Below are 26,322 nucleotides of genomic sequence, written 5' to 3' on the forward strand. Positions count from 1 at the left end.
CCGAGGCAGTGAACATGGATTTTCAGCTTCAATGACTCCTCTCTTAGGTACCTAGCCATTCCTCAGCCCAAATGTGGTCCTGGATTTCTGAGCATGTAGGCGGGTCAAGAGGCCACGGACGCCAGCCTCACTGCTAATGGGAGGTTTAAAAAGTCAGCCTGGGTAGGGGGAGGGCCAGGAAGGGAAGGAGGGCTGGATTGGAGAGAGCTGCGCAAGGAAGCTGCTGTCTAGATGGTTAGTTAACTGCCTGACCTTCCAAGTCCTACTTAACACGAGGTAATAACCAAAGCCATCCTAACAGATTAGATGGCCCCAGATACAAGGACAGCGATGAGGAATAAAATAGCTTTGCTAATCGCTGGAGGATTTTTTTTATCCAGACTCCACTGCGCTTATTCAGAAGGCTTATTCACTTGAAACAGAACCTCGGAGCCTCAGTGTGATCAGAAAGATTTACAACAAATCTCAGAGCTGGCAGACACGCAGGCGGCCTGGCCTTAATGCTCGCCTGCTAGCACTTTCTTAAATCGAGTGAAAGCCCAGAGCAGGGAGAAACTGCAGGCGTTTGAAGGGAATGAGGAGGATGCAAGATCATACAGGAGGCATCCTAGCAGGGGGGTGGTAAAAACCTTGGCCCTGAACATGGGACACCTGGGTCCTTAGCCCTGGGTTTAGCCCAGAGACTCCACAAAGCCCCTCGCAATGGAAGATCCAGGGCTGGTCAGCTGACCTCTCAGAGTATCACCTCTCATATGAAACGGAGTTAGAGCTCATTTAGCCCAAGCTCTTCATTTGACAAATGGCAGACCTAAAGCCTGGAGAGAGGAAGGGCTTCCACAACTGAAGGTCACTCTCAACAGGTGACGACAGCAGCTCCCATTTTATGACAGTAGCTACCCCTCACCCTGCCACTGGCTCTGGACTAAGACATCAGCACTGAAGCTCCCAGCTCAGCAAGAGTAAACAAACAACAAAATCCCTAGTTACAACCCACAGAGCAGAAGCGGGAACCCAGAAGCCAGCTTTGGATACCGACTGACTGGTCTCAGGCCCGCGATTCTGGGAGCCCCGAGTCCCACCTCCTCCCAGCACCCAAACACCCCTCCGGGTTCCAGAGTGCCAACACTTACCGCACTGGATTCTCTCTCTTTGGGGAAAGAAGGCCAGGACAGGAGGAAGGTCAGGCACCCCAAAACAAAAAGACAAAAAAGAAAGGAAAAAGGTCAGTCTAAGTCCAGCTGGCTTTTGTGATTTGCTAGTGCACTGGTTTTAAAATGAGCAGAAGGCCTGGATTGCTGTCTCCGTGGATCAGCCAAGGCAGGGCCATTAGGTGGCGTTTCTCGGTTTGGAAATTTGCCACCCAAATTCCAATGCTGCCCCCACCCCTCTAGTCCCCAGGGTGGGCAAGGGAGGCCCAGTCCCCAGGGTGGGGAGGGTAGGCCTTTGACCCAGTTCTCCCTGTCATGCCAGAGGGCACCAAGTTTACTCTTTAGCAGGCTAGGGGTCTTAAGATCACAAGCTTGAGAAGGATCATGCCATATAAAATACCAGTAGGACCTGGGAGTTAAGAACTTTATTGTTAAAAAAAAAAAAAAAAAAAGGAATTTAACAGTGGTTTAATTTTGTTTTTGAAATTAACACCATTCTGTGATTCTTTGTCAGGATGCCCCTAAAAGCTGAAGCCTCTGAAACTGTGCCCAGCTAAGCACTAGCTCCCCAGTTCTCCTGTCTGCTATGGAGAGGCCCCTCTTCCTCTGCCAAAAGGACCATCCTACTGTAAGACAAAAAAATGTAGCCTCCAGTTCCCTGGACCGGCTACCACCCTGTGGCCTGGGCCAAGGCAGGATGGTGACATTCCAGGTCCCTAGTGCTCAGAAGGTGTTGGCTACGTGCCCCAGTAAATACCGTATCTAAGGGCAGAGTGCATTTGGCACCAATTTTTGAAAAGGGCCTCCCAGGGAGCCAGGCTTTTCTCTTTTCTGATCCAATGAACCACTCCTGAGGCCAAGCTCGGTGCAGCTTCATGGGTCCTCATGGTAGGGGCTGCAGAGAGGGTCAGAGAACAAGTTCTGACTCCAAGTCTATGTGATCTCTTGCTGGGGTGTGCACTACCCCCACTTACAGGCAGTCAGCTAACAAACCTTTACCTGAGCACTGACTGTGCACCTTTCCCAGGTTTCTGCATTGGTGAGACATAGATGTAAGGAAAACACCCAAGAACTTGGCACCTGTCCTAGGGAACTAATGATCGTGGTGAGCACAAGACATTTTCCAGGGGTAGGATGTAAGACGACAGTAACAAGGACTCAACTTTGGCATCCCAACTCTTAAACTCTTACAGGAACTTGAAAAAGCCCCTAGTCTGACCAGGAAGGCATCCTGAAGGGTTGGACTGGGGCTGGCCCCTGAAGGACAGGCAAGGGTGTTGTAGGAAGATGGGAGCGAGCTCCAGATGAACAGACAGGGTCTTCAGGACAGAGAATACCAGGTCCACACCAAGGAGTAGGAAAAGGTGCATGGGATGCGGATGGCATTGGCTTCCCTGCACCAGGTATCAACAGATGACTCCAAATCCTTGGTAACTCCTGGTCTTAGGACGACAGCACTTGCTGGGTCCACTCACTGTGAGGCCTATGAGCGCCCATGCCCACCCCTGCCCCGCCCCACCCTCTGCCCCAGCCCAGCCGCACCTCTGTGATCGAGTTCATGGTGGTTCTTCTCATCCTTCACCGTCAGATGGGCCTGGCTGCCCAGGGCGCCCAGTGCCAGCAGCCCGGAGCTGCTCCCTGTCACTGGGGGGATTCCTGGAGGCTGGAGACCTGACGGGTGGGGTGGCAACTGGACCGGGGGGCCGTGTGTGGCATGGGAGAGGTGCTGCGCCTGGAGCTGCTGCTGCTGCAATGAAGTCGGTGGTGAGTACAGCTGAGTTGGGGAGGGCAGGGGAGGCGTGGCCACCTCAGGAGGGAGGGAGGGAGTGGCTCTTCCCATTCCTCTTGCTCCTTCACTGGGTGGGTGGCAGGGGGAAGCACCCCCAAAACCTTTGCCCCCAGCTCAGTTCACATGAATGTCTCGCTGAAGGAAGTCTGTTAATAGACTGTAATGTAAAGATTTATGTCTTCAAGCACCCCCCAACTCCCTGCACCCCCGTTTCACAAATAATTTCTCAATGTTTGTTTCCAAGCCTGAGATAAAGAATGCATGCATTTAAAAAACCGCAGAGTCATGGGGTTCCCTCTGAGTAGAGAGGGATCCATTTTTAAGCTCACAGCCCTGGCAGTGTTTGCTCATGCATACATGCCTTCAGCATTAGCTGCCAGCATCTTCCACCCTGAGGCTGGACCCTGGGGAAGGCTCCTTATTTCTTAGGAACTCCAAGCCTGCCTTACAGAGCAGGGGCAGGGCAGGTCATCACAGCAAAGGCCCCAGAGCCAGATGAGCTGGGGGCCAGTGGAATGAGAGCTAACGTCACCGGACATCAGTGGTGGAAAACGGGGTAACTGGAAGAGTGGAGGCTTTGGAACTAGACAGAACAGGATTGAAATCCCAGCTCTGGCACTTCCTAGCTGTGTGGCCTGGGGCAGGTTACTTCAAGTCCTGGAGCCTCAAATTTCCTTATCTGTAAAGGGGGAAAGCAGCAGACCCCAGAGGATTATTGTAAGATAATGTTTGCAGCAGCTCATGGCGCACAGCTACTAAGCCTCATGGCAGTAGCTAACATTTACAAAGAGTTTAAAATGGATTGCTGAACCCTTCTAAAAACTTGCCATGCAGCAAGTCAGTATTATCAACAACAATGCAATTCTCCCTGTCTCCTCCCCAGTCAAGGACTCCGCTGCCCTGGCTCCAGAGGCCCAACTTCCCCACTCAACACTAGCCTCAGGGGCTTGGGCTTCTCTTTCCTCTCCCTTCGCCCCACCCAACTTCTTCTCCACTACTGAAAGAGAAGTTAGGTATGCTGGTATCCACCTATGCACACATCTTTCTTCTCAACTAGTGCAAGAGAAGAAAACTAACATTTACTGAATGCCTGAATGAATGCCTGGGCACCTTCCAACCACCTGGCAAGGGAGGGGTTGTGGCCATTTAATAGATGCTTAGGGGGCTGGAGTAGGTAGCTAGTAATTGGCCAAATCCCACCACTAGTAAATCTGTCAACCACCACCCCTCATCCAAAGAATGCTCATTCCTAAGAAGATCCCCAAAGCAAGAGGGGTTGGTGGAAAGTGCCATAGAGAATAGATCTGAGAAGCTTCCAGATCTCACACCTTACTAAGGGAGCTCGCCTGTCAATATGAGATGGTTTTCTGGCAACCGCGAACAGATAACAGAACACAGTGAAGGCCCATGGCTCTGGCAGGAGGAGGCAGTAAGCATTTCAGGTTATGGATAAAGGGCCCTACTCTCCCCCAGCTAAGCTGCAAACTGCCCACCTGGCCTCATCCCAAAGTTAACGGCAGCCACAGAAGCCATGGCACTCCTGGCCCCAGAGGGCTCCCTTTGTCAGTTCTGGGTGAAAGGCTGGCACTGCGGCCGTTGTTCAAAGCTGTCAGAGCACTTCTGTGACGTCTGTTGCTAGGCAGTTCATGGGCACTGTCCCAGGGTGGTCTGACCCCACATCTGCACTGAGACACTATGGCAGACACAAAGCTATGGGGGCCCCTGGAGCCAGCATCACAGAGTCCAATGCGGAGATCCAACCCCTCCCAGCTAAGAAACTCCAGCTCCTCTAGGATGGGCGCTTACTCTGAGCTCCTCCACTTTTTCTTTTTTAAGAAAATGTAATTTTTAATATCTTATTACAAAACTAATACATGCCCATTTTAAGAAAATACTAAAAATAAGTAGACATTAAAAAGTTTTTAAAATTACCCTTCAATCCTACCCTCGGAAGATTCTACTGTTAAATCTGCCTAGGTTTTTCTTTATGAAAATCTACACATTTCAAATGTATTTATACAGAAATGGACTCCTGTGAACCATACTGCTATACAGCTTGATTTTAATTTAGGAATGTTCTGAAGAAATTTTCTTGTCCTTTTTAATGGCTACCTAGTATTCCCTGGTGTGGTCGGACAATACAACTTTATCTGGATACCTGGTTTTAAAATGAGTCTCCAGTAGGGCCCCTTTGTTTAGACAAATTGTTGGTAGGCCCGTTAATTCTGCTGGTGATAACTATTTAGTAAAATCCCAGAAAGCAAGGACTGAAAGCAAGGTATTTAATCCACATTTTATAGTGCAGAGCCAATAAGATCCCTTGAGGAAGAGACAAAGAAGAGGAGGGGAAAGAAGGCTTCAAAGAAGTAGCTTTGCTGCCTGCAGACACAGCTAACTCCTTTCATGAACAAGTCTGTTTCTAGAGAAAATGTGCACTGAACATTTGTACCCAAGGCAAGATGGAGTTGAATAGCTCCACGCACCCTGACTCTTATCTTACCAGGAAAGGTCTCTTCTCCTACCCAACCTTCTAGGCTCAGCTTTGCCCAGTTCAAAGGCCATATCCTCTGAATGCCCTCCCACTTCAGGTCAGAATGGATTTCTCTGTTCTAAGAGCTCTAACGGCACAGACAATGGAGCCAGGCAGAATAAGGCAGACTTCCAGCTCTATCCTTTATCAGCTATGAGTCCTTGGACAAGTCAGCCGACCTCTCTGTGTTGTGCCAGGATCACATGTGTGACTACAGGTAAAAATGGAGCAGGTGCTCAATCTTAGCAAACAGACAGATCCCAGGTGTACACTGTTTCTTTTGCCTTTGTGCACTGCTTGGCAACCTGTGAGTTCCAGAAACAGAGACTGTGTCTTCTCCATCCTAGCACCTCTAACAGTGCCTGGCATGTTTGCTCAGTACATGTCTTGTGGGTAAATTAGTGAAAATTTTGGAAAAGGTATATGAAGAGGCTGAGAAATGGTGTCCACAGGTGCCAACCGCCTCCCAGCTCCATGCCTTCCTTCCAAGGCCCAATTAGACGCAGCTAGAACAGTTAGTTGGGACAGGAAGCATCAATGGGGTCATGAGGTGTCCTGCTTGCCCAAAACATGAACCAGTGAACCGACGTCAGAAACTTGGAACAAAGGCAGCAGCGGCTGTTTGGCAGACAGTGGCTTTCAAAGCTGTTAAGCTTCCAAGGCTGAGAGGCTGGTTTTCTGCCTTAGTGTTGTCAGGTAGGAGCGTCCTCTTTGCAAAAGAGAAAAGGAATCTCCCATGCAAAACTGAAGCGTTCCTCATCTCTGAGTGCAAGAGCAACCTGCTGCAAAGAGCCAGAAACTCCCTCGAGGTCTCCTTGGGGTGGTTTGAAGGCACAGCAAGGACCGGTCCAGCAGACTCTGGGAAGCAGGGACAGGAGAGCCAACCTCCAAGGCTCCTTCCTCAGTGCAAGAGCAGATGCCAGGGCTTGTCAGACGGAGGGTCCGCTAACAACAATCTTGGGTACAACAGAGAGTGAAACGAAGATTTTTCCCTGACAGGTGTGGGGGCCAGTGGGCAAAGCCCCACCTGACCCCCGTCCCTATCACAGCTCAGCACCTCTGCAGGCAGGCGGGCACAGCTATCCTCAGGCTGTATTCCTATCCCCTGCAACACGTCTGCTGGCTTCAGAGCACAATGTGCTCAAACACAGTGATGTCTGAGTGGGAGGCTGATACTGTTTTCAACTGGGTAGCTTTCCCCATGGCAGAGAAATGGAATCAATTCCACAATCAGAGACCGCCTGTCTCCAGCTTATACCATTCCTTCCAATATGGGAACTCCTCCATCCACAATATGAAAGGAAGTCAATAATTCCCTCTTGCATCCCTAACCCCAAAGAGGCGCTAGGAGCCTGGAACCAAGCCCATGCATGGGCGTTCACTTTTCCCTCCTTGAACATTTCCTGCCAGAGCACAAATAGGACAACGAACATGTACTCCACACAAGTGATAAGCACCCATGGCCTGGCTCAGAAGGTGCAGTCACTTCCAGGAGAGGTTGAAGGGAAGATCTTGCTTGCAGAGTACGTGTAATTGGATTATGCACATCACGCCTTAGGCCTTCGCTAGGTGATTTAATGCTGCGTTTCTCAGGTTCATGATTTGGGTTGAACGTAGTGAAGTTGTCTAAGCATTTCCAGAGCCAAGACCCGCCAAGGGCTCCCACCAGAGGAGTCAGACAGGGTCCTGACAGCGTAAAATGAACACTTCCTGCCCTCCAAGGACAGCGAGAACAGCTCCAGGCCTCCGACTGCTCCTTCTCTTTCACATCACTCAGTGGGCACCATAGCTCCACACGCATTGAGCTTCTGGGGTTGGTAATAGCTTTTAGTGCTCACAACAACCCTTGTGATCCCCACTTCAGAGATGGTGAACAGGCTCGGGAGGCTGAACAGCTCCATGAAGCCATCAGCAACCAGAGCCCAGACTCAAACTCAGCGTTACCTCCTTCCACCATGGCTGCCTGGCTGAAAGACGGATCCTAAGGCACATTCTCTTGGCCATCCTTTCCCCTCACACAAAATTCAGTCAACTGAATGCAGCTCATCCACATCCTGGAGTGAATACCTTAGGTATGGCTTCAAAATATCCTGTGTATTTTGTGACAAGCTACAACGTCCCTCTTCCTCTCCTCCCTCCCACTTAAAAAAAAAATCAAGTCAATGCTCTGTGACATCTCCCCTACTGTTAATTTCCAAGGGAATGAAGACCAAATTGTCAGTAGGTAAGCAGATGAGACCTCCTCCACTTTCCAGTCCAAAGATCTTGGGCCATGATATAGCAATGTAACAAGAGGGTTCCAGAAATGGGTGATATATCGGCTCAAAGGGTCTTAAATCTGCTTGGGAAATATAGATGCTGCCTTCTGCAGGTTGCTGACCAAGTGTCAAATTTCCCTCCTCGTGCTCAGGAATCTTGTCCTTCTAAAGCCCCTCCTGTTAATTGGATCCAAGAAGCATGTAACAGAAACAGGGCTACTGTAACCAAGTCTTGCCAGGCCCCAGCTAGAAGAGAGACAATCTTCCACTTCTCTTCCCTCGGTAGACACTTGAGTTCCCTGTGGTCCAGCAGGGGAGTGGGTAGGCTTGGCTTGAGAGCCTGGTTCCCTCTGTCTGTCTTTCCTTCCCCTTTTCACACATGCCACCCTGACCTTGGATCCTGCCCTTTCTCACCAGGAAGGAAGACCCCAGGAATACTCTAATCCTCATGATAAATATGCCACCAGCTACCTCCCTGCCCATGCCGGAGGTATCTGATTTCTCTTTGAGTTGAGTTGAGCCGAGCCACAACCTCAGAATCTTTCAAATCCAATGAGCAAGAGAGCCACTAAACAATTAGGGCAGATGGAGAAACTGAGGCCTGGAGGAACAAAGTGACTTGCCCAAAGCCCTCCTCTAAGTCCAAGACCAGGATGCCAGGCTGTGTCTCCTTCCAGAGCAGCAAATCCAACAGTGCAGTGGGGGTAGCCACTGAAAGCTGCCAAGAGCCTCTTGGGACCCTCTCTCTCCTGCCCTTTCCTGCTGGGGCCAGGATGCCTGCCCTTTTGCTCAGCCCATGGCTCTGCACCCCGTTATCCTTCTTCACCTTGCTTCCCAGAGGCAGCTCAGCTGCAGGCTCGCTCTCTGCTCTCCTCGAGGAGGAGATAAAGAACGCCCTGACTAGATTAGCGGACTCCTTCGCGGGAGTGCAGTCAAGCACGGCTCCCCAGTGCGAGCACGACTCGGCTGTCCGTAATTCCTGCCTTGTGAGGCTCTGTCAGGCGCAGCGATTAGACGGCTGCCTGCTTAATGACAGGGCGATGGCTGCATTCACTTGGAGCTGGAGAAGCAATTACCTTGAAAATGGGGGTCACAGGCCCCACTCGTTGGCTTTAATTGAATTCCAATGTCTGCCTCGAGCTGCCTCGACCTAACTTGTAGCTTCCTGAATACTACTTAAGGGAAATACAGCTAATCCAAGCAGTGCTTCTCCCCCAGTTTTACTCCTTTCTTAAAACTTAAAAAAAATTATTTTCATAAGAGGATTTTAATTCCAAAGAGGGGGGCAGAGGGTGAGAGGGGACCCTGCTGTGGCCACCGCAGGGGTAGGAGGAGTTGGCCTGGAAACCTCAAGAAGATGGTTGAAAGGGGATGGGGTGAGGAGCTGGAAGAGGAGAAATGTCGGAAAACAGAATTCACAAGGTATGTCCCAACCCTGCAGCCCCCTGCTACCACTAGCAGAACCACCACCAAGCTGAGAGCTGGTCACTGAGACAGATGACACAGGCCACCCTCCAGGGCTGCACCAGGGCCAGGGGAAGAGCCCTGGGCTGCGAGTCAGCCACCTGGGCCTCTGGCCTGGCTTTCCTCCTAAACATCATAATCACTTCCCCTCTCTGTAAAACAAGGGCATTGAGCTAGATCAGAGGTTCTTAACCAAGGGCCATTTTGCCTCCTATGAATATCAGGGTGTCAGGGTGTTATTGACATCTAGTGGCTACAGGCCAAGGATGCTGCTGAACATCCCACAATGCACAGGATGGCAAAGAATGATCTGGCCCCAAATTTCAACAGTGTCAAGGTTGACGATCCCCGGGCTAGATGATCTCTGATGATACTTTAAACATTAAAATATCATGATTTCCCCTCTTGGGGTGCTGCCTTCCAGCACTGAACACTTCTTCACGTTCCAGTTTCAAGACTCCTCTCTGCCCATTCCACACAGTAGGCCAGGATTCAAACCAGGCCAATGCTTGCATCCCCCACCTGCCCAAGCAGCACTGAGAAGTGTCCCTATGGGCTCAGCCCAGAAGGACAAACCCACTGTGCTGCCTTCATCAAAGGACTCTGCAACCATCACGGGTCCTGACAGTGTGATGGAAGGGCCGGTGTCCATAAGTGTCATTCTGTGATTCCAGCCTCCCAGCATTCCTGGTAGGAGTCAGGAGTGCCCAAAGAGATGAGCCGGTGTACGTTCTCCCTTTACAGATACAGAAACTGAGGCCCAAGGAAGAGAAGGGACTTGCCAAAGGTCACATCGGGGGAGAACCATGACTAAAACACAGACCTCCAGGTCTCTGCCCCAGGCGGAAAAGTCAAGAGTCATCATGTATCCTACCAAGCAGAGGAAAATTGTGGGGCCTTCAGTTCCACCTTGAAATAGTGACTTCCCACGAGAACAGAAAGAGGAAAGAAGACCAACCAGGTTCCCAGAATGTTAGAGTTGAATCAGTCTACTGCTTCCCAAGCCTAACTACACTTCAGAATGATCTAGAAATCGTTAGGAACACAGATTTCCAGTCCCATCCCCAGACCTATGGAAAAGACCTCTGGGGCAAGTGCCCCTGTATCTGTACCGTCCAGAAGCTCCTCCGTGGACTGGGAAGCAGTGATCCTGTCCACCCTCTTCATTTCAGAGATGAAAGGTGGACAGGTACACCCCAAGGGTAAGAGCCTTGCCCAAAGTCACACTAAAAAGACTCTTCTTCCTCAGGTGCTTATCTTAAATGTCACTAGCCTCACACCAAAGCAGCAAGCAGGAGAAAGATGCCACTTGAACCTAAGAAATGCATTAAAGATACAAGCCAGGTAGACCCAGCTTCCCTTTTCCACTAAGGGGCCAGTCCGGAAGTGGGCCTCACAGAGCACTCTTGGGTATGTCTTCCTGTGTAAAGGGGAGACGGGACTTCTAGAAAGTCAGGAAAACCAGTCTCAGCTCCCCAGCTGGAGTTCACAAGCGTACATGATGAATGCTCAGCCAGGCAGCTTCGCGCATGGGACAGCAAGACGTAAACCCAAATTCCACAGCACGATGCACATCAACAGTACAGCAGAGACTGTTCTGATCCCAGGTGGCCAAAGAAGGGCAGACTTCTGCCAGGGAGGAGGCAGACAGGCCCCGGGGTAAGTGTGAGGAGGTGGCCAGGTACTGGCCAGCTGGCCTGGCCTTGAAGGTGACCCTAGGCCCCCACCCTCCTCAATGGCAAGGACACCAAAAGCCAGTGGAAGATGAGGCAGATGGCTGAAGAGGTGGATTTGAGGCGTGTCTGGCTCCCCTTTAGTTTGAGGACTAGGAGGCAACTGGGAGCCAAGGGGGAAACAGCCCTACATGGGTCCAAGCCCTTGGGGTGCTTGTAGAAGCCGGAGCCCTGGGGCCGCCATTCTTTGAGGCCAGCTAAGGTCAGGGTCAATCTCTGGTTATGATAAATGAGAGGAATAAAAGGGCTATACACACGGTAAGAGGCAGATTGGGGAGTCCACGTACCCCGATGATGGCGTTCAGCTCCGTCATGGTGACCTGCTTGGCGCGCTCCACTGCCTGCGCCACCTGCTGCTGGTGCTGGAGGGAAGAGGGTGTGCGTTAGATGCAGCCACTTTCCTGGACAGAGGAGGTCACAGGCTGTGCAGCACTGGCAGGGCCTCTCGGAGAGGCCCAGAGCAGACAGAGGAGTCCCACTGAACAGGCACAGGGCACAAGTAGGGGGGAGGGTGACAGGCGATTTTACTTTCTCTTTTAGACCTTTTTCAATGAGCATGTATTAGTTTTGTAATTGAAACTTCCTTTTAAGTTCTAAAACAAAGAGCATGCCAAAAGATGGCTATTAGTCAACCACACACACACAAATTTTTCCATGCAATTTGCGTATGAGCTGGATATCAGATGATATTACAGGATGATTATTAATTCTCTAAACATGGTAACAATACTGTAATCATGAAGGATGGTATCCGTTTTTAGGAGATGCAGTTATAGTAGTTAGTGGTGAATTGTCAGGATATCTGCAATTTACCGTCAAAGGATTTGGGGAAAAAGTATGTCTACATATACCTTATCCATACCTGTCTAAATAGAGAGAAAACAAAGTATGTTTCCAGATGAACAGATAGAGAAAGAAAAAGTGGTAAAATGAACCCTAATGTAAACTACGGACTTTGGGTGATGATGTGTCAATGTAGATTCATCAGTTTCAACAAATGTACCACTCTGGTGAGGATGTTGATAGTGGGGAGGATATGGGAAATCTCTGTGAACCTAAAACTGCTCTTAAAAAAATAAAGTCTATTTTAAAAAGTGGTTGCATTAATTCCCTTTGGCCTTGAGGTAGTACCAGCCACATACACAGCTTTCTCTCCTACTGGGCTGCAAGCTCCGAGGGCATTGCCATATCTGATTCTTATATATTAATTCAATCATTTACTCAGGTCACCATTAGGAGTCCCTGAGGGAGCTGACATGGTCCCAGCCACTGAGTGGGAGTAGAGGGCAGGGCCTGCCCTGGCTGGAGTGAAATCAGAGGACAGAAACAGAGCCCACTAAAGTCGGCCCGTCTGTCTGGTCGGCACCAGGGGGCTTCTTTGCAGGCATTTATCTCAAATCACCCACTAGTCCAGCCGCTGTCCCAAATGGAGGTCCCTTGGAAGGTAGGCGTAGAAAGTGACATGACCACCTGGGTCATGCTCCCAGCAAGGGCACTCTGTACCAGGAACTGAGGTCCACTTTGGGCTGGGGATGCTAGTTTGGATGGGAAAGAGGCACCCACTGCCCACTGATGGTTAGGTCGCATGCCAGCACTCCAATCTCTGGACTCAGGTGATGGCAGAGAAACAATTCTATGAGAAGAAGGAGCAAATGGTCCCTCTGATATGGCCCCCTGCCTCCAGACTGGCCGGAGAAGGCTCTGGAAATCTCCAGGTTGTCAGCTCAGTCAGTATGAATGGACAGGGGCTGAGGCTGGGGCTGGGGCTGGGGCTCAGGCTCCAGTGAGACCCCACCAGCCACTGGGCTGATTTGGAAAGAAAAGGAAGAAATAATAAAAGAAGGTCTTACCTCTTGTGACAGGAAAGGCATGATCTGTGCTAAAATTGTGTTCAGTCTCTTCGCAATCTCTGTCTGCAAAGGCAAGGAGACCACATGAAGCTCAGGCAAATAAATCAAGTCACTGAAATGTCATAGGCAAGTGGAAATGCAAACTCCCCCCAGACCACAGCCCCTCTCCACGGGGCTCCATCCTTTCTGCCCTCAGTCAGCCTCCTACCAGGAGGCTCTAGCTAAATCCACAGCATGAAGAAATCTCTTTCAACTCCCTTGCAGCCAGGCTGCCTACATTTTAGGGAGCTCCAATTTCCATCAGAGGTAGTCTACATGTCTGGTTCAGAATATAGTTTGCATCCTCTGGATGGAATCCCTAATTAAAGCAAAACGAAATAAAAATCACCCCCAACAACCCAGCAAAACCCACTGTAAGAGTGAAACACAGTTTAGTGAGAGAGGAATTGCTCTGCCCACTGGTGCCCAGTGCCAATAGGACATGAGCTCTCAGATAAATGGGACTAAGCTGATAAGCGGTCCTATGTGGCAAAGGGTTCCCTGGGACTAGCCTCTCCCTCACCAAGATCAATCCCTCCCCCACATATATGCTACCAGGCTAAAATCCTACCATTAAGCCTTCTTTCTTTTTTTTTCTTTCCCATTAAGACAGGGTCTCACTGTCACCCAGGCTGGTGTACAGTGGTATGATTTTGGCTCACTGCAGCCTCGACTTCCTGGGCTCAGGTGATTCTCCTGCCTCAGCCTCCCAAATATCTGTGACTATAGGTGCACTGCCACTCCCAGCTAATTTTTGTATTTTTGTAGAGACTGGGTTTCGCCACGTTGTCCAGGCTGGTTTCAAACTCCTGGGCTCAAGTGATCTGCCCACCTTGGCCTCCCAAAGGGCTGGGACTACAGACAGGAGCCACCATGCCCAGCCAACACTTCATTTTTTAGGATATAGCATTGCCTTGTCTAAGAAGCTGCTCAGAGATGTAATTCATTAGATCCCTAATCCCTCACAGAAGTCAATCTTAGAAAGGTAGATCAATTCTCTGCCTCATCTCCCAACACCCTAGAAAAGACTGCATTTAGAAAGTCAACAGTTTCCACCAGTATCCTATGTAAACTTTAGATCTCAGATCAAGAGTGGTGCTATACGGGTTAACTGAGTCCAGATAGAAAGGCCTAGAACCACTGACAGACGACTCTCAGAATTGCTTTTCTTATCTCATTCTGAATCCTGAGCCCGCCAGGACTGAGGTCCCAAAGCTGGCTTCAAAGCTTTCATCAGCACATAGCAATCTTTCAGAGACAAAACCATGACAACAGCCTTTAAAAATCTGTGATCATCTGCATGTCAAATGATTCTGGATGAGAAATCCTTGTGCACTTAAAATAAAAACAATCTGAAGGCGCATAAATAGACCCTGGACCTCGGGAGAATTCCTTGGGCTAACACCCTCCACCCCCTCCACCCTTGGCCACTAAAGAGGACGCCTCTGGTTTGTGGAAAGGCAGGCCATCAACTAAAGAGCCTTATGGGTTTTTGCAGGCCTGTGTCCTGGGCTGCCAGCCACGGTGGCAGGGCTCGCCAACCTACGGAGCCTGTCCGCTACAGTGGGGGTTCCTGGCAGGGAGAGGATCAGGAATCACTGCTGTCAGCTTTCTGCCTAGAACACTCTAGCTCCTCAGGAACAGAGTCAGTGTTTCCCAGCCAGCACCACTGTTGGCATTTGGGGAGAGACAATTCCTGTTATAAAGGACTGTCGCTCATATCCCAGGCCAACTGTGTCAACAATGGCCCCCACTTCCAAACTGCCCAGCTCAGACCCACTGGGACTCCACATTGACACATGTGTGGGGCACTCTAGCCAGGACACCATACATCAGGGTTTCTCAAACACCATGCTATTGACATCTGAGGTCAGATAATTCACTGCTGTGTGGAGCCCGTTCTGTGCACTGCAGGGCTTTTAAAAGCATCCCTGGCCTCTCCACCCACTAGACACCCGTCATTCATACTCTAAGGAACCCAGGAGGATTACTAAATAATCATTATATAAATTGTTAATCTAGTTAAGTGGGAAGAGCTCTCCCAAACAGGGTCCTTCCTCACTCTGCTTATTTTTTCCTCGCCTAAATCAACTGATAGTAGGAATGGGGAATGAAGCAAAAAAGTCCGGGTTGGATAGGGCAGGAGTTCTAGAAACAAGCATAGGCTGCAGCTCACTCCAAACCGGCAGAGTAACAAGTTCTCTCACCTTTGAGTTCATGCACCAAATAAGAATAGAAAGATATGTAAAAAACAAAAAGCAAACAAAAATAAACAAAAAAAACCAACCTTACTGTTTAGGAAGCTCACAGGTCCAAGGCCTGTTATCTTAAACAACAATAGAGCAGTGTCTGGCACACAGTAGCTGCTCCGTAAATGTTTGGCCCAAAGAATAGTATCACTGGCATCTCTGCATTTATTGAGACTTCATATTGCAGTGACCCCTTGCTGTGGATCTGGGCCTGCCCCAGCATGGGCAGCATCTGTGGGAGGGGCCGTGGTGGATGGAGTGTTGACATACACTTGGTGGCCAGTGGCCCAAGCCCTTCACCAACGGGGTGGGGTGGCACCTCCAAGCCAGGCCAATCGCAAGCCACCTAGATGGGTCCCTGGCCACTACTCCTCCCCACAGCCAGGAAGGCAGGGGCAAGGTCAGAACATCCCCAGTCATTCTGGCCTCCTCAGCAACTATTAACTCTCACAGTCTCTGGGAGAGCAGGGAGGCAGGGTGATTATAAAAGGGTTCTGGCTATGGCCTCCTTCCACTGGTAAACAGGCCAAGGGTCAGGGTCTCGGGAGTTGACAAAAAAGAAACGTAGCTGACCTTGCCCTTCCCCACACCCTTCAGCAAACACGTGGCCAAAGGCTTCCCACAGACAGGATCTTCCCATAGGGCTGGTCTGGAGCCCAGCTCACTCTGGTTATGAGGACAACGGATCTCCCAGGATTTATGTAGCCATCCGGGCCATCAGGTGACCACAGCTGGGTGGCTCAGGGCAAGTCCTCTCTCATTCTCACCCCTCCACCCTCCTAAAGTAGTTCCTGCCTCCCAACACCACAAACAAGCATCAACTGAGGGCTATCGCAACAATGCCACACAGATGCAGAACCTTCCACAAGCCTGGGGTAGTGGCATTCAGGCTGTCTTTCCTGAGGCCCATGTTCGACGAAGAGAGGCCTCTCTGCAAGGCAGGAAGGACTTTGGCACGTCACCAGACAGGACTGTGTAGGGTTGAGGCAGGCAGAGGGGAGGGGCTGGGCTTACGTTGGGAGAACCTCCTGGTTCACCGTAAAAGTTCTCCCAACGTAAACCCAGCCCCTCCCCTGGGAAAGGGACATGAAGCAAGCACATCCCATCCCTCCCAGCTGTCACTGTGCCATCATCTGCTAGTACCCTCTTGGGGTCTCCCCACAAAGTGGAAGCAGGGATTGGGCCTCCCCCATCTCTACAAAGGCTGCCCAACCCTGAGAATGGGCTGCGTGCACTCTGCAGAGTCAAAGCATGAACAGGAAAGCTGTTCGCTCAACATTTTAAAGAAATGTTTATTTTTTGGAGGGTGGCGCTTGGGGGAGGGGAAGTTCCTGGAAATGGAAAGCTGGCTTAACAGAAGCCCTCCTAACAACAGTAATGACCGCTGATATCACCCACCCAACTCGCCATGTGTGCATCCACAATAACCCCGCGGAGAAGGCGCTTGTCAACATCTCCACTTTTCAGATGGGGAAACTGATGCCCAGCCATTAAGTGATTTCACTAAATGACTTCCTACCAAGAAGCCAAATTTTGACATTTCAAGAGAGCTTAGAGAAATATTTTTGAAAGAAAAACCACCATTAAGGTTAATAATTGACAGCACTTCTGATTAGAACAGCTGTTAAAACAGCATTGGATCCAACTCAAACAAGCTCTAAACATCAGTTCCAAAAAAGGAAAAAAAAAAAAAAAAATCAAGTGTGACTTCAACAATTGGGACAGGTCACAAATCACAAACTGGAACTCGATCGTATGTTGGAAAACTCCTTTTGGCAACTTGGCGCAATCCGTTATCGATAAGGCGGCTGTAGTTTCCAGAGGCCGACCTCCATCCTTCCCTCCATCTCGGTCCCACAAAGCCACTGCTTTTGAGCCAGGTCTTCAGAAGCGAATCTGAGAGGTGGTGGGAGGTGGGAAGATGGCTCCCTTTGGAAAGCACTTTGGAAAAGGTGTTCAGGGAGGCTGGTGCCGCCTTTGAAAGTTTCTTTTCAAGTATGGTTCAAAGCAGGCGCTTTGTTGGTGGAAAAACATTGTTCCTCAGAAGGAACTAATCTACTAGATACAGACAGAGAAGCAGTTCAGAGAAATGGGGACAGAGGTCCTGCTACATCCGGAATCTGCACTACCAACTGGGCGCTGGGAGTAACATCTGCCCTGCATCTCTGTCAAGATTGTTAGGCAAATAAATGACAGAAAACAAGATAGTGGGGGGCAAGTGTAATTTCCCAAACAGCAATCTGTTCCATGCGCCTTAGTAGCTCCCATTTGCATGATCATCTCCTCATTAAAGCAGGACCTCTGAACATCTTGCTGTAAACCGAGGGTACTTGAGCATTCTAAAAGTCTATTTCTCTAACCACAGTCTAGTATTCACGTTTGCTGCTACTTCAGACTATCCTTGGCCCTTGACCCAAGACACTAAATTAAGGGAAACGGAGCCTGCTCTTGATCTGTACCCCCCAGCAACCTCCTGCTCCTGGGCTTGCAGCACCCAGCCAGTCCTTGCCCTTATTTTTAATTTAGGTGACTGTGTCCAACACACCGTCGAGAGCTACTTCCACCAGAGAGTCTGTCTGCTAGTTAGTTTTAAACTGCCCTGTCGTGTGTACCTGTGGACTCTGAATGCACAATTCCTTTTAACCTCAGCCAAATAAAGGCAAGGAGAAGAGAAAACTGCCCCTTCAAAGAGTGTGTTATGCTCCAACGCCACGCAGAGATGAGCTGGCTTCTACCTCCAATTCTGCCTCCATTTAGTTGTGTGGCTTTGGGCAAATCACTTCCCTTCTCTAGGCATTAATTTCGTTGTCTGCAAAATGAAGGGATTAACTAGATAACGTATAAGATCCAGGAGCCCTAATTTAGAGTTTTAGAACCCTAAATATTCCCGAATTGGCGTGCAGCTTATCATTTCCTCCATAAAACAGAGCATCACATGAATTTACAAAAGACCAGCAGAGAAGAGCCAAGCCACCTTGAGATGTGGATGGATGCTGGCTGGTTGCTGGGCAGCTGGCTGACCTGGGCTGGGTCCCAAGGACCAGTCTTCAGAGCACGAGCCATTCAAATCTGTCCATCAGCAAAACTGCGCTTCACTGTGGAAGAGCCTCTAGGCAAGAACAATGATATCATACTTCTAAGTGTCAAGCCCCTACTGTGCAGTTTCTGTGATTCAAAAGGGAAGACTGGTTGGTGAGGCTAAGACAACCAGGCCAGGGTTCTCCAAGTTGTTGCATTCAGCGGGAAGTAATTCCACGTCTGTGAGACAGGCAAGCGGCCATCCCATGCTACTAGGCTTCTAGTTACATTTGTGAAATGAGGATTTCTTCTTCGGAAAATCAGGGCAGTGTCATGCAAAGAGCATGGTACTGTGAGTCTGAGACCAGTTTGCGGATGTGTGTGAAAGATGAGATGAGGAAGGGACCTGCCCATTTGAAAGGTGAATTACATTGCAAAGCCATGGGGAAGTGACGATTTTCATCCCAGCAGGCCTCTGGGTCTCAGGTTACTCCTCTAGAAAATGTGTGTGTTTGGGGGTGTCATCTCAGTCAGCTCTGAGGTTCTTAAATTTTAATCAGGTTTTACCTACTTCTCTGACTGAGTCCTTGGAGTTTGAAGAGAGTCTGCTTCATCTTGATTTAAATCCCAGAGCTGCAGGGAAAGGCTGGGGTGGGAGGCTGTGCAGAAAGAGGTGGCCCTGGCCCCAACCTTCCCAGCAGCCTCCCAGCAGCCAGGCGCCAATCACCCAGATTCAGAATACCACGTCTGGGCAATTTTAACTTAAAATATCCCATTGCATTTCCTAGGCAATACTAAATGGATAGCCTCTCAATGATGTGACTAAAAGAGGATAGTCCTTGCCAGGTAGTTTCTCCTTAGGCCGAGCTCAGAGAACACTGAAATAAAACAAGTGGGTGTTTTATCAACAGAGGAAGAAATCCATGGGGGGGCCGGGGGACAGCCAACAAAAGCTGGGGTGGGGTTCTCAGGCCCTGCTCCATCCACGCCATGGGCTCTGAGGGGAAGCAGTGCTACAATGTAAGAAGGGGAGGAGGGTCAACAAATGATCTATGCAGCAGCCTTGGGAAATGTAGCCCCTCCCGCTACTGGAGGGGCTGGTGAAGGTTCACATCACAGATCACTCAATGACAGGTGAGCCTTCTTAAAGGCCCTTTTAGCACTGACATATTGATCAAATTATATATAACTACAACGCCATTAAATATTTATGCCCTCCGAGGAAGCCTGCTGAATTCTTTATGCTGGGAGGACTTGGTACAAGAAAGGCCCAGCCCCCCTCAGCGTGACCCTGAGGATCTGTCTCCTCCGGAAGGGAAGGGGATGCTGGCCTGAGCCGGCCTGTGAGGACACTCTGGGCACCAGCCCCTGTACCCTTCACAGGCGGGTGAGGATGACAGTGAGGAGCCAGGGCAGGGAGGAGGAAACACACTCACCCTTCCCCAGCTAGGACCGATCAACGGCAAGGGACTCTGGGGTTGCTGGGGTTGGGACGACCCTTCTGCACACTTCCCTGAAAGGAATCCCACCTCCTCTTTTCTTCCAGGGGTCTACAGTGTAAGGGAACTGGGGATGGTTAGGCCAAGCTAGCATGCATCCAGGCAACCCAACCCCAGAAACAGGTAGCAACATACAGTCTAGAGTCCTGCATTCCTAGCCCAGATCCATCCTGCACTTGGGCCTCAGTTTCCGAATAAAGAAGTCCAATCTGAGTCCAGTGTAATAATCGGAGCTCTCAAAAATGAATTAGGTGCTGTGTGAGTGCCCTGCCCTTGGGAGCATTCCATGGAGACCCAACAGAGACTTGGAGGCAGACACCACAGGGCCCAGATGACAGCTCAAGTCCCTCCTGGCTTTAGGACTCTAAAGAGTTTCATTCCTCAGACTTTCAGTTTCCATCTACCGGGCTTCCTGTTAACAAGATCCAATAATCTTTAAATATTTGTTCACTTTAATTTCTTGGTTCCCAAACACACTAAACTCTGCTTGCCTCCCACCCCTACTTGTGGGGGGAGATGGCTCTCAAAGAGCTTGCTTGTACAGACAGAACAGGGAGTGCTTTTTCAGATTATACCTTCCCCCAACACTGCCCATTCATCCCAGGCACACCGCCCCCACCCTTCCCTCTCTCCTTCCCCCTCCTCCCTCCCCTCAGATAACCCCCTGCCCCCTCCCCCACCTTCCCAGACTCCATTGGCCAACTCCTGCCAGGAGGAAAAATTCTCAATTCATCCCTGTGGGGTTGCCATGGCAACCCCCAGCCACCTAATCCCCCTTGGAACATTATGCAAATCTCCCCTTGCCCCTCAACAGGCTGTAAAAGTCACATTACCCTTGCAGAGACAGCTCATTAAATTTTGGGGGTCTCCCCCCATCAGGTCAGCACTACAAATGAAATGCTGGCTAGGACTTCTTAAGGGCAGGGACTCTTTGGAAAACCCAAGTGGCATGAGGGAAGAACAAGGTGAGGGGCAGAGACAGAGCCCCATTCTATCTACCTACCATCTTATTCACAACCAAAGAGCATACCTGTTCCGTAAATTAAAATAAAAAGGGTTAGAGGGTCTTCTTTCTCCAAATAAGGAAGGCAGGAGTGATGGCATTTCTTAGGCTATAAAAATCAAGATCGGTCATTTAGAAACTTATTTTATATGATATGCTCCTTCTCAAACTGACCTCCTCCCAAGCCACACCATTTGATCTCTCATTTTACAGATGAGTCAAATGAGGCCCAGAGAGGGCAAGAAGCTGTCACACAGGAAGACCACACAGGAAGACCAGGTGGTAAGCAAATCTCCCAGGTTAGAGCCAGACTCCTTCCTCTATAACAAGGCCTCTCAACCAATAGTAATTGTTTCCCCCAAGGGATTCTGGCAATGTCTAGAGACATTTTTGGATGTTACAACTTGGGCACTGATAACAACAACTAGTGGGTAGAGATTAGAAATGCTGTTAAACATCCTAAACACAGAGGACAATCCCACCACAAAAAATTATCCAGTCCCAAATGTAAACAGCGCCCAGGGTGGCAATCCCTGATCCACATGTGGCTGATGCTCATGTTTTACTGAATTCTGAAAGGTTTCATCTGGTTTCTTCCCAGCACTGGAACTGATGCCTGTAGTATGGTGGTCTGGGGGTAGACATGTGGGAAGACCACAGAAGACCTCATCTTGATATAGCCTATGGATAAAGATCACTGAGGTCCACGAGGGAAGCAGGCCTGGTTTCCAGTTCTGAATTGGCCACTGGTCTGCTGTGCAACAATGAGCAAGTTACTCAACCTCTTTAACCGTCAGTGCTGCTATCTGATGCGTGGCGCCCACGGTGCCTACACTGCAGGACCGTAGAGCCAACAAGTCACATATGGGAAAGGGCTCTGAGAAATCTTACAACATATGCAACACCAAGGATCTTGTCCTCTATGTCTGAGGCCTTGACAATTTGGGGACTCTGTCCCCTTGTGAGAATACCTTGCTTCGGCCTTTCCATGTGCAAGGTTTTGTGCTAAGCAGGCTATATGCATCCTTCATGGCACTCCCTATAACTGTAACTGTACAATTTATGAAGCCACCAGCCACCCGTGGCTAGCTAAATTTAATTAAAATTAAATTTCAAACTCAGTTCCTCAGTCGCAGTAGCCATATTTCAAGTGCTTAAGAGCCACACGTGGCTGGTGGCTGCCTTACTGAAGAGTGCAGACATACAGCATTTCCATCACTGAAGAAAGTTCTACTGGACAGCACTGCCGCAACAGGCAGGTGTTATTATTATCTCCACTGCAAACTGAAGATCACAGAGGTCAAACAGTCTGCTCAAAGTCACACACCAACATGAACTGATCTGGGACTCAAACCCACATTTGTCTGACTCCAAAGCCAACCTCTTAGCCATGAAGACAAATCTCCCAGCTTCTGGTGCTCTATACCTAACTCTCCAGGATCACCCGGCAAGAACTTGTGATCTTCTGAGGGAGAAAGGGAATCCACTGGCCAAGAAAAACTGGCTTGCTGGGAACCCACCCCATCCATCATCCAGTAGGCCCAATGGGCATTCAACATCCTGGGAGTTTAAAAAGGGAGTTTGCCCAATATCCCTGGGCAAATGGATAGTGAGGAAGAGCTGGGTAGGGGTCTCTTGAGAAGTAAGGTAAAAAACCAGGTAAAAGAATAGTGAGAAAACCCAAAAGGCTAAGAGAAAGGGGTATCTAGACACTTCTCAAGTTCCTGCAGACCAGGCCTGTGGGTGCCTGCCACACACAAGGACTGGGTGACATGGAGACCGACACCAGGCCAACAGCAGCAGGACCCTGCAGGAGAGGGGCATGTCTTTCGAGCTCTAAACCAGGCTGCTTCTCCCCCATTTCAAGTCTGGCTTCATGGAGATCCCCCATTTCTCTGGGATAAAGTATGAAAACCCAGCGATTGAGGGATGGGAGACAGGGATTGTACCATCAATCTCAATTCTTCCTGTCTTTCCCCAGGACTTCTGTTGTTAGGCAAAGCAAAATAAGAACTGGACTTCAGCTTTCTTCACTGGAGAGAGAGATCAGAGGAAGGGGCCTCCTTCTAGGAAAAGAAGCAGGTAAGGGTTTAAGGATGAGCTGAAGACCTATTGACCAATCAGTGCCAACAGGCTCACTTCCTCTGTCTCCCCTGCTCCTCCTTCCTCTATCCCACCCGACCAGTTAGACCCTCACTCCAGACCATCTGGCATCACCTGCTGCTTCTGAGCCCTCTGAGTGTCCTACTTCTTCCTGGACAGAGGCCAGGAAGGTTAATAGAAGTTCTTGTACCTCACCCCCACCAGAGAGCTAGAATGGACTCCCATCCCTTGTCCACTAGTCTGCACTGAACTGCCTTCCTCTTCTCATTTTCCCCAGCAGAAATCACAAAGCATCACCGGTTCCAAAGCATGCCCCTGCCAGTATTATCAGAATTAATCAGTTTCAGATCCAAACTCAGCAAAGACCTGTCGAGGGCTAGCCCAAGGGAAAGATTTGGGAAGTGGGTGAAAGGCCGCCTCCTCCAACCTTTTGGTCATATAGCTGGCAGGGTGGTGGAGTCTAAACCTCAAGTCTTCATGGCTGACCAGGAAGGGAGAGCCCTCTCCTGTACCCAAATTGCATTTGGTATTCAGTGCTAAAACACTAGTGGGAAGAGCTCTTCTGCATTTGGGTCTCCACTTGAGGAAAGGGTCAGCCTTCCAGCGCAAACGAAAAAGAAACTTCTATCGGCCTGCGGTAGTTTTCATTCAAAATTAACAAACAAAAAAAGCAGTAGAAGAACTGTGAACAATAGTCAAACTTAAAAGGCTCATGAGATAAGGCCACAACACTTGGAACTCCATGCCCAAACAGCCAAGGCATGGCAAGCCGAGTTTACCAATTCACCCACTCAGCACTTGTCTCTTCCGCATCTCTGCTTTGTCATCTCTTCCTCCCAGTTATCTCTTCGCACCCCCACCCTGCCTTCTTCCCCTTTTGCACTTAAACTGTCCATAGTGTTAGATGAAAAGAAAAAGATGCCTAAGATACATTAAAGACACTTTTAAATAAAGGCTCATGACACCTTTACAACTCTTTCTACAAACACAACGTTTGCAGCCTACAGGCCTCTGTCAGAAAACTAAGAAAGCTTCTATCCTTCCCAAAGAGTCCATAACACTATTCAGGGTCAGAGAGAACCCTGAGCTGGAATATTACCTTCCTTCCTTGAGTCCCCACAAAATGCACACTGTGTATCCAGTATGGGCCAGGCACTGCTCAGGGTTCAGGACCCTTAGTGAAAACAAATACAAAATGGTCCTGTCCCTCACGGAACTCACAGTCCTGTCACAGCACAGGCCTCACCTCCCCAACCCCAATTTGAGAACACAGCCCTCTAGTACACAGGTCATCTTCACACCCCAAGCTTTCAGGGTATGCTCTGATGCTTTTATCCTGGTGTCTGTCTGTCCTGGACCCAAATACCCATTATTTTAGCTGCTAAGATGAAAATGTCGAATCTGCTTTGCAATCAAGTGCTACAGAAATTCTAAGAGGCCGTAGCATTATAATCTATAATATCTGGAAGATCAAATTTTTCAAACAGTTTGTCCTCTGGAAAGTACTTCCCCTGGGATTATTTGGTGGTGGCAGCAGCCAGAACACTGGATCCTATCCTTCACACAGTGGGTGATGGAAGGAACCACCTAAGACACACGAGCCAAGCCCATCCATGCTCCTACCCTTTACCAAGAGCAGCCAGCCTGGGAGAGAACAGGACAACATAGACTTCAGGCCCCAACAGGGTTTCCCTGGCCTCTCAGGCCCCACAGATGGGAAGTTGCTTCTCTCTTCTCCCTTCACAGGACACATTGGCAATGGGAGGCTTTGGTGACAGAGAGGCAAAGGAAACCTCTTCCAAAGGACTGCATTTTCAAAGCAATAATGAAGTCGGCTGGTGTGAAGGGGAGAAAAGTATTTGTTCTCAGATAAAATCTGCCGGGTGGACTAGCCGGGCCCCCTGGTTAACCCTCCAAGCCTGGTGTGAACCTGTACTTAAGAATACAAGTCCTTGCCCCACCCACCCTGTTGATTTCCAGACGGGCCTCTTGGGCCATCAACTCTGCAGCAAACAGCCTCCTAGAATCTGATTCCTTAGCGGTCATGGCCTGACTCTCCAACACGGTGACCCCTCTCCTCCAGCCCTCCCCCAAAAGGTGGCCTCTGCCTAAACATTCACAGTGACAGCTCTGCAGCCCACTGATTGTGCAACATCCTTAGCAAAGAAAAGAATTCAAAATCAATGCTGATGCGAATTCAGACTCTCCCATTACCTCCTTGAGAAACGCAAGGTCCTAAGGACCCTCAGTAGGGCAAGGCTGACCCACAGCTTGCTGCCTGCAAAGGACGATGCTTCAAAACAACAAACCCACCAAATATTCCCCGCTTACATGGCGGCAGGACGTTTCCCCCTTCCTTAAGTTTCTCCTTAACCCCAACTTGAAGGGAACAATTATTTTATAAAGAATTTTTTTTAAATATGTATTTTGAAGGAGAAGAGAAAGCCAAAAGAAGAAAGGAAAAGGAAAAAGGAAGAAAGCATCTTGGCTGTGAGTCTCAGAGAGCATTTGTTGAAAACAAGATATTGTCCCTTTAAGCATATAAAAACAAGGCCCTTGAGCACGCAGTTCTCACTCTGGTACACAATTATGGGTGCTTTCAGCTGTCTAGCACTACTTCAAGTGCTCTCTTAAACCAGACTGTCAATGGCATGTTGAAAGCTATTTTGCTGGCTGCTATCATTAATAGCAAAGTGGAGAGCTGGGCTGATGAGAATTAAATATGGGGGAGGGGGCGGGTCATAACCAGTCATTACAGAATTACCAATATGAGAAAGGAGACAATGCCACTTTGGGGAATAAAGTTCAAAGCAGCATATTACGGTAGGAAAGCAGGCAGAGCAGGCCACAAACGGCCCAGAGCGGGCCCCCGCCCCCGCCCCCACCCCCACCCCGCGGCAGATGGACTCAGGCCAGCCCTGGAGAGCCAGCCATGCAGGGATGCAGGGAGCCACCGGGTGGGGAGCCGCGACTGCAAGGGCAGAGGGGCCTTGGAGATCGCTCTGCTGCAAAATGTCACCACCTCGCCTCACTTCCCAAGTGCAGTCCCCGCCCCACATCATTCCGAAGACGTGTGGCTTCTAGAACATATCTCACTGCCTTGCCGCGAGCTGTTGCCACCCTGGAGGGGCCTCGGCTGCCGACTTCTGCCTCATAAACCCTACCCTCCCTTTCAGACTCGCGCCAAGCAAAGCCCTCAGTGAAGTCTGCTCTCACCCAAGAAGAATAAGCTGTTCTGTGCTGGGTGCTCCTCCTATGACACTTGGGCCACATTAGCACTTACCTCACTGCATTGCAATTACTTCTTTAGACATCCGACTCCCCCGCAGAGGGAATGGTGTCTTATTCGGCTGTGTAACCAACCCCAGCCCACACCCAGCACATCCCAGTCCCCTAATAACTGCTTTGGGAATGAATCCAACCCCCTCATTTCACTGATGAAGAAACTGGATGCTGGGCCATAGGAGGAAGCCTGCAGAGCGGGCGGCCAGCCCACAACTAAAATCCCCACTTCCTACTCACAGGGCTCAGGGAATCGGAACTCTACTCTCAGATAACCTGAGTAAATTTTGAAGAAAAACCAAGATGTTTACTGAGCACCTATTACATACTAAGTGCTATAGAGACCTCAGCAGAGGG

General features: G+C 49.7%; 1 protein-coding gene and 1 non-coding gene across 25 annotated transcripts in view, besides 7 other annotated features; both read right to left on the bottom strand.

The window, feature by feature from the left end:
• TLE3 (TLE family member 3, transcriptional corepressor) overlaps positions 1-26,322 on the bottom strand; it is a 50,128-nt gene that overhangs the window by 15,534 nt on the left and 8,272 nt on the right. For 9 of the 24 annotated variants that reach the window (XM_005254628.5, XM_005254625.5, NM_001438148.1 and 6 more), the window contains 4 exons: positions 12,773-12,835; positions 11,180-11,284; positions 2,691-2,895; positions 1,131-1,147 (listed from right to left, as the gene is read on the bottom strand). In XM_005254628.5, the coding sequence (XP_005254685.1) occupies positions 1,131-1,147; positions 2,691-2,895; positions 11,180-11,284; positions 12,773-12,835 (390 nt within the window). The remainder of the gene's footprint in view (positions 1-1,130; positions 1,148-2,690; positions 2,896-11,179; positions 11,285-12,772; positions 12,836-26,322) is intronic. The other 15 variants (NM_001438838.1, NM_020908.3, NM_001282979.2 and 12 more) reach the window with 4 other exon arrangements.
• Positions 4,014-4,514: an enhancer, noted in NCBI's record as "H3K4me1 hESC enhancer chr15:70359676-70360176 (GRCh37/hg19 assembly coordinates)". NCBI's record gives its function as "activates a minimal SCP1, AML or CMV promoter by ChIP-STARR-seq in naive H9 embryonic stem cells {active_cell/tissue: H9 hESC(naive)}" and the evidence as "EXISTENCE:reporter gene assay evidence [ECO:0000049][PMID:30033119]".
• Positions 4,515-5,015: an enhancer, noted in NCBI's record as "H3K4me1 hESC enhancer chr15:70360177-70360677 (GRCh37/hg19 assembly coordinates)". NCBI's record gives its function as "activates a minimal SCP1, AML or CMV promoter by ChIP-STARR-seq in naive H9 embryonic stem cells {active_cell/tissue: H9 hESC(naive)}" and the evidence as "EXISTENCE:reporter gene assay evidence [ECO:0000049][PMID:30033119]".
• Positions 8,080-8,580: an enhancer, noted in NCBI's record as "H3K4me1 hESC enhancer chr15:70363742-70364242 (GRCh37/hg19 assembly coordinates)". NCBI's record gives its function as "activates a minimal SCP1, AML or CMV promoter by ChIP-STARR-seq in primed H9 embryonic stem cells {active_cell/tissue: H9 hESC(primed)}" and the evidence as "EXISTENCE:reporter gene assay evidence [ECO:0000049][PMID:30033119]".
• Positions 14,996-15,602: an enhancer, noted in NCBI's record as "H3K27ac-H3K4me1 hESC enhancer chr15:70370658-70371264 (GRCh37/hg19 assembly coordinates)". NCBI's record gives its function as "activates a minimal SCP1, AML or CMV promoter by ChIP-STARR-seq in naive H9 embryonic stem cells {active_cell/tissue: H9 hESC(naive)}" and the evidence as "EXISTENCE:reporter gene assay evidence [ECO:0000049][PMID:30033119]".
• Positions 15,603-16,209: an enhancer, noted in NCBI's record as "H3K27ac-H3K4me1 hESC enhancer chr15:70371265-70371871 (GRCh37/hg19 assembly coordinates)". NCBI's record gives its function as "activates a minimal SCP1, AML or CMV promoter by ChIP-STARR-seq in naive H9 embryonic stem cells {active_cell/tissue: H9 hESC(naive)}" and the evidence as "EXISTENCE:reporter gene assay evidence [ECO:0000049][PMID:30033119]".
• On the bottom strand, positions 16,049-16,145 carry MIR629 (microRNA 629). The gene has a single exon (NR_030714.1). It is a non-coding gene; the product is annotated as a microRNA 629 (primary transcript).
• Positions 19,284-19,832: an enhancer, noted in NCBI's record as "H3K27ac-H3K4me1 hESC enhancer chr15:70374946-70375494 (GRCh37/hg19 assembly coordinates)". NCBI's record gives its function as "activates a minimal SCP1, AML or CMV promoter by ChIP-STARR-seq in naive H9 embryonic stem cells {active_cell/tissue: H9 hESC(naive)}" and the evidence as "EXISTENCE:reporter gene assay evidence [ECO:0000049][PMID:30033119]".
• Positions 25,319-25,906: an enhancer, noted in NCBI's record as "H3K4me1 hESC enhancer chr15:70380981-70381568 (GRCh37/hg19 assembly coordinates)". NCBI's record gives its function as "activates a minimal SCP1, AML or CMV promoter by ChIP-STARR-seq in primed H9 embryonic stem cells {active_cell/tissue: H9 hESC(primed)}" and the evidence as "EXISTENCE:reporter gene assay evidence [ECO:0000049][PMID:30033119]".

The sequence above is a fragment of the Homo sapiens genome, chromosome 15, assembly GCF_000001405.40.
Source record: "Homo sapiens chromosome 15, GRCh38.p14 Primary Assembly".
Classification (NCBI taxonomy): domain Eukaryota; kingdom Metazoa; phylum Chordata; class Mammalia; order Primates; family Hominidae; genus Homo; species Homo sapiens.